Source organism: Homo sapiens, chromosome 3 (assembly GCF_000001405.40).
Source record: "Homo sapiens chromosome 3, GRCh38.p14 Primary Assembly".
NCBI lineage: Eukaryota > Metazoa > Chordata > Mammalia > Primates > Hominidae > Homo > Homo sapiens.
In genome coordinates, this window is record NC_000003.12 from 194942682 (window position 1) to 194946772 (window position 4091).

At 49.7% G+C, this 4091-nt stretch overlaps 3 annotated features.

Annotated features, from left to right (window-relative positions):
• Positions 751-1251: an enhancer, noted in NCBI's record as "H3K27ac hESC enhancer chr3:194664161-194664661 (GRCh37/hg19 assembly coordinates)". NCBI's record gives its function as "activates a minimal SCP1, AML or CMV promoter by ChIP-STARR-seq in primed H9 embryonic stem cells {active_cell/tissue: H9 hESC(primed)}" and the evidence as "EXISTENCE:reporter gene assay evidence [ECO:0000049][PMID:30033119]".
• Positions 2532-3032: an enhancer, noted in NCBI's record as "H3K4me1 hESC enhancer chr3:194665942-194666442 (GRCh37/hg19 assembly coordinates)". NCBI's record gives its function as "activates a minimal SCP1, AML or CMV promoter by ChIP-STARR-seq in naive H9 embryonic stem cells {active_cell/tissue: H9 hESC(naive)}" and the evidence as "EXISTENCE:reporter gene assay evidence [ECO:0000049][PMID:30033119]".
• Positions 3033-3533: an enhancer, noted in NCBI's record as "H3K4me1 hESC enhancer chr3:194666443-194666943 (GRCh37/hg19 assembly coordinates)". NCBI's record gives its function as "activates a minimal SCP1, AML or CMV promoter by ChIP-STARR-seq in naive H9 embryonic stem cells {active_cell/tissue: H9 hESC(naive)}" and the evidence as "EXISTENCE:reporter gene assay evidence [ECO:0000049][PMID:30033119]".

A 4091-nucleotide genomic window follows, 5' to 3' on the forward strand; every position in this document is an offset into this window, starting at 1 on the left:
TCACCCATGGGGTCTGGGAATTACTGTCAGAATTGAATTGAACTATGGCCGGGCGCAGTGGCTCACGCCTGTAATCCCAGCACTTTGGGAGGCTGAGGCGGGCAGACCAACTGAGGTCAAGAGTTTAAGACCAGCCTGGCCAACATGGTGAAATCCCGTCTCTACTAAAAATATAAAAATTAGCTGGGTGTGGTGGCACACATCGTAGTCCCAGCTACTGAGGAAGCTGAGGCAGGAGAATTGCTTGAACCTGGGAGGTGGAGGTTGCAGTGAGCCGAGATCACACCACTGCACTCCAGCCTGGGTGACAAAGGAGGCTCCATTTAAAAAAAAAAAATTGAACTATTATACACCCAGTTGGTGTCAGAGAATTGGAGAATTACAGAACTGGTGCAGAAAAAAACCACACAAGCCATTGGGTAGGAACAGCAGGAGGTCAGTGGCAGGAGGAAAGTAGGGAAGTAATTCTCTCAGCTTCCTCTTTCGGGTTACTGAAGATTAACTGCATCCCCTACCAAAGACAGGACTTCTACCCAGTGGCTCTCCCACAGCTATAGCCCTATCAGAATTCCCAGACCACGCCTCCCACACTCTCCCACTCTCTCCCACACTCCCACACTCTCCTACTCTCTCCCACACTCCCACACTCTCCCAAGCTCTCCCACTCTCTCCCACTCTCTCCCACAGTCCCACACTCTCCCACAATCCCACACTCTCCCACACTCTCCCACTCTCTCCCACACTCTCCCACATTCTCCCACACTCTCAATCTCTCCCACACTCTCCCACACTCCCACACTCTCCCACTCTCTCCCACACTCTCTCCCACTCTCTCCCACACTCTCCCACTCTCTCCTACACTCTGCCACACTCCCACACTCTCCCACATTCTCCCACACTCTCCCACAGTCTCCCACACTCTCCCACTCTCTCCCACACTCCCACACTCTCCCACATTCTCCCACACTCTCAATCTCTCCCACACCCTCCCACAGTCTCCCACACTGCCACAGCTACAGCCCTATCAGAATTCCCAGACCACCCCTCCCACACTTTGCCCCTCCTAACCCTGAGGAGCTTCACCATCCCATGATGATTTTTTTTCTTTTTTCTTTTTTTTTTTTGAGAGGGAGTCTTGCTCTGTCATCAGGCTGGAGTGGAGTACAGTGGTGCCATCTCAGCTCACTGCAACTTCCACCCCCCAGGTTCAAGTGATTTCTCCTGCCTCAGCCTCCCGAGTAGCTCGGATTACAGGCACGCGCCACCAGGCCCGGCTAATTTTTGTATTTTTAGTAGAGACGTGGGTTCACCATGTTGGCCAGGCTGGTCTCGAACTCCTGACCTCAGGTAGTCCGCCTGCCTCAGCCTCCCAAAGTGATGGGATTACAAGCATGAGCCACCGTGCCCGGCCCTGAATAAATATTTCTTAGCTACACATACATTACTATTTTTCAGATTAATCTAAATGCTGTTGTAATACAAATTTATTTGAGTGTTAGAGCTTCATGTAGTTTTTTGTAAGTATGTATGTTCTTTATAAATTGATGCTGAAAATAGAACTATACTCACAAGGGAGAGGTCCTGAAACTGGAAATCATGGGAACCCTAGCACTGGGGGCCTAATTCCTGCTTCTTGTCCAGAGGAGAGATTTTAGTGGGAAACTGTGAGTTCTCTGCCTGAGCAGACTCCTCCTCTAGTCTAGGCATATTTCTTTTTTTCTTTTTTGGGGGACAGAGTCTCGCTCTGTCACCCAGGCTGGAGTGCAGTGGCGCGATCTTGGCTCACTGCAGCCTCTGCCTCCCAGGCTCAAGCTATTCTCATGCCTCAGCCTTCCCAGCAGCTGGGGCTACAGGTACACACCACCATGCCAATTAACTGAAGACTAACTTCATCCCCCTATCCCCTACAAGTTAATCATCAGTTAATTGTTGTATTTTTTTGTAGAGTTGTAGAGATGGGATTTCACCATTTTGTAGAGACGGGGTTTCGTTGGCCACGCTGGTCTCAAACTCCTGGACTGAAGTGATCCGCCCGCCTCGGCCTCCCCAGGCGTTGGGATTACAGGTGTGAGCCACCGCGCCCAGCCCTTTACGCGTGTTTCTATCTCTACACCTCCCTTTGGTTCATCCAGCTCTGTGTGTCCACACTCCTGGCTTGGGTGCAGCCCTTGTGCTGATGGATTGGCAACCTTGGCACAAGGATACCCATGCTGATTCCCACTGGGGGATGGAATCATTTTTTCATCCCCTTTCTTCATTCTGGGCTAGAACAGCAAGACTGGAAGAACTCTAGAAATTAGTTGTTAACCAATCCTTTCTTTCGGAAGGCTGAGAAATTGTAGCTGGGGAGGGGAATGGGCTGTTCAAGGTGACCCTCCCTCGGTGGAATGGGGTCTCCTGACCTAACTTCAGTCCTCTTTCCATTCCACCAGAAAAGACACTTACCAAGCTCTCATTAAATTAAGTTTTAACATGACTCAGGGTCTCTGGTCAATTTATTTTAGGCGTTTGTGCTCATTTCTATCTGAAGAAATAAATACATACCTATTTAATTTTACTTTTCTCATTTAAGTGTGCCACTATTTTGAGAGCAACCAGGGAACAAAATTCTGACCCCATTAATGGGTCTCATTTTGTTGGTCTTTATCTTTATAGAGCTTCCTTTTTTTTTCTAACTTCCTTATACACTTTGCCTTATAATTCCACCATTTAATTTTTACCTCTGGGGGAGGGCCAGGGCCTGGAAGATCTGTTTCCAATCATTACAATTATTAAGATGATGAACAGTAGCCCCTTGATTCCCCAGTGGGCACATCAGGGCTTCAAGGTGGGGTGAGGTAGGCAGGAAGAGTGGAGGAAGGAAGCAGAAGCGAAGAACCAAGGAGAAGAGAGGGGGGAAGGCATCTCTGAGCAGCCCCAGCACTCCCTGCAGCCCCTTTCAAAGCAGACAGCAGGTGCTGAAGGGCTGTGCAGGGCCTCGTCTCCTGCCCCGAGGGAGCCTGAGGCTGTTGGGAGGGGCAGGAGGGCTCCTGGAGCTAGGGGAGCCGCACCAGACCATACGTTCACCTTCTGGAACCCCGAACACCGCTGGGGAACGCGTGCGAGCACCCCAGGGCTGGTTTGAGAGGATGGCGAGGACCCAACTTGGAGGCCGGCTGAAAAGCATCTCCTTCACTTCCTCCCTCCCTCTCCCACTTTCTAGAATTTCTCATTCGTCCACTTTTTCATACGTCGATTTCCCAGTCCTCCTCTCATCAATCACTTCTTCCATTTATTTTAACTCCATCTAAAGCCTTTATTTATCCCCCTTTTTCTCTCGACACTCATCTCTATTTGTGTGTTCATGGTGCTGAAAACCGAACGGATAACAAATTGCTTCGATTCGGACCAGATCCTTCTGCTGAGCTCCTTGGCCTCTGAGGCCGCCTATAACAGCGCCTGCATCGACTCTATTTGTTTTCTCTCACTTACGGTCCCAGTGGCGCTTAATTTTTCATCATGCATTTCTGTCGTCTCCTCAGTTTCCCTGTAAGCATCTTCAGGAACAAGCCCATGGCCCCCAGAGCCCCTTCTCCTCACCGAGTCCTATCCTCAGGCCTCCCGCCAGGCCCTGCAGCTGCTCAGGAAATGGGTGTGGGGAGATTAATGCCTCCTCACACCCCATGAAGGCTTCTGACCTTCACTGCACAGTGGAATGCTTTCAGCTGGGGTGGTGGCGCAGCCAGGGGTGGCTTGAGTTGGCCTTACACCCAATCACTTCCATCATCCATCCCAAATAAAAATACACTAAGAAAAAAGAACACTCACTAGCAAACATCAGCTCAAGACAATCACCAGACTCTTACACCCCCCACCGCCAGCTTTCTACCTGAGTCTTTCTTTCCTCTGTAGAAACTGGCCCCTGGTCTAGGAAGATCTTTCCCTCCATTCTCTGACTATTTACACTATTTATGTATTTGCCTCTGCTGAAAAAAAAAATCATCTTTCTTTTCTAAGTAATGATTGCCAGCGCTAAGCTGGGAGCTAGTGACAGGGAAGATGACTTCATTGACTTTGTCCTTGAGGAGAACGTGGCAAAGGAGAATGACAAG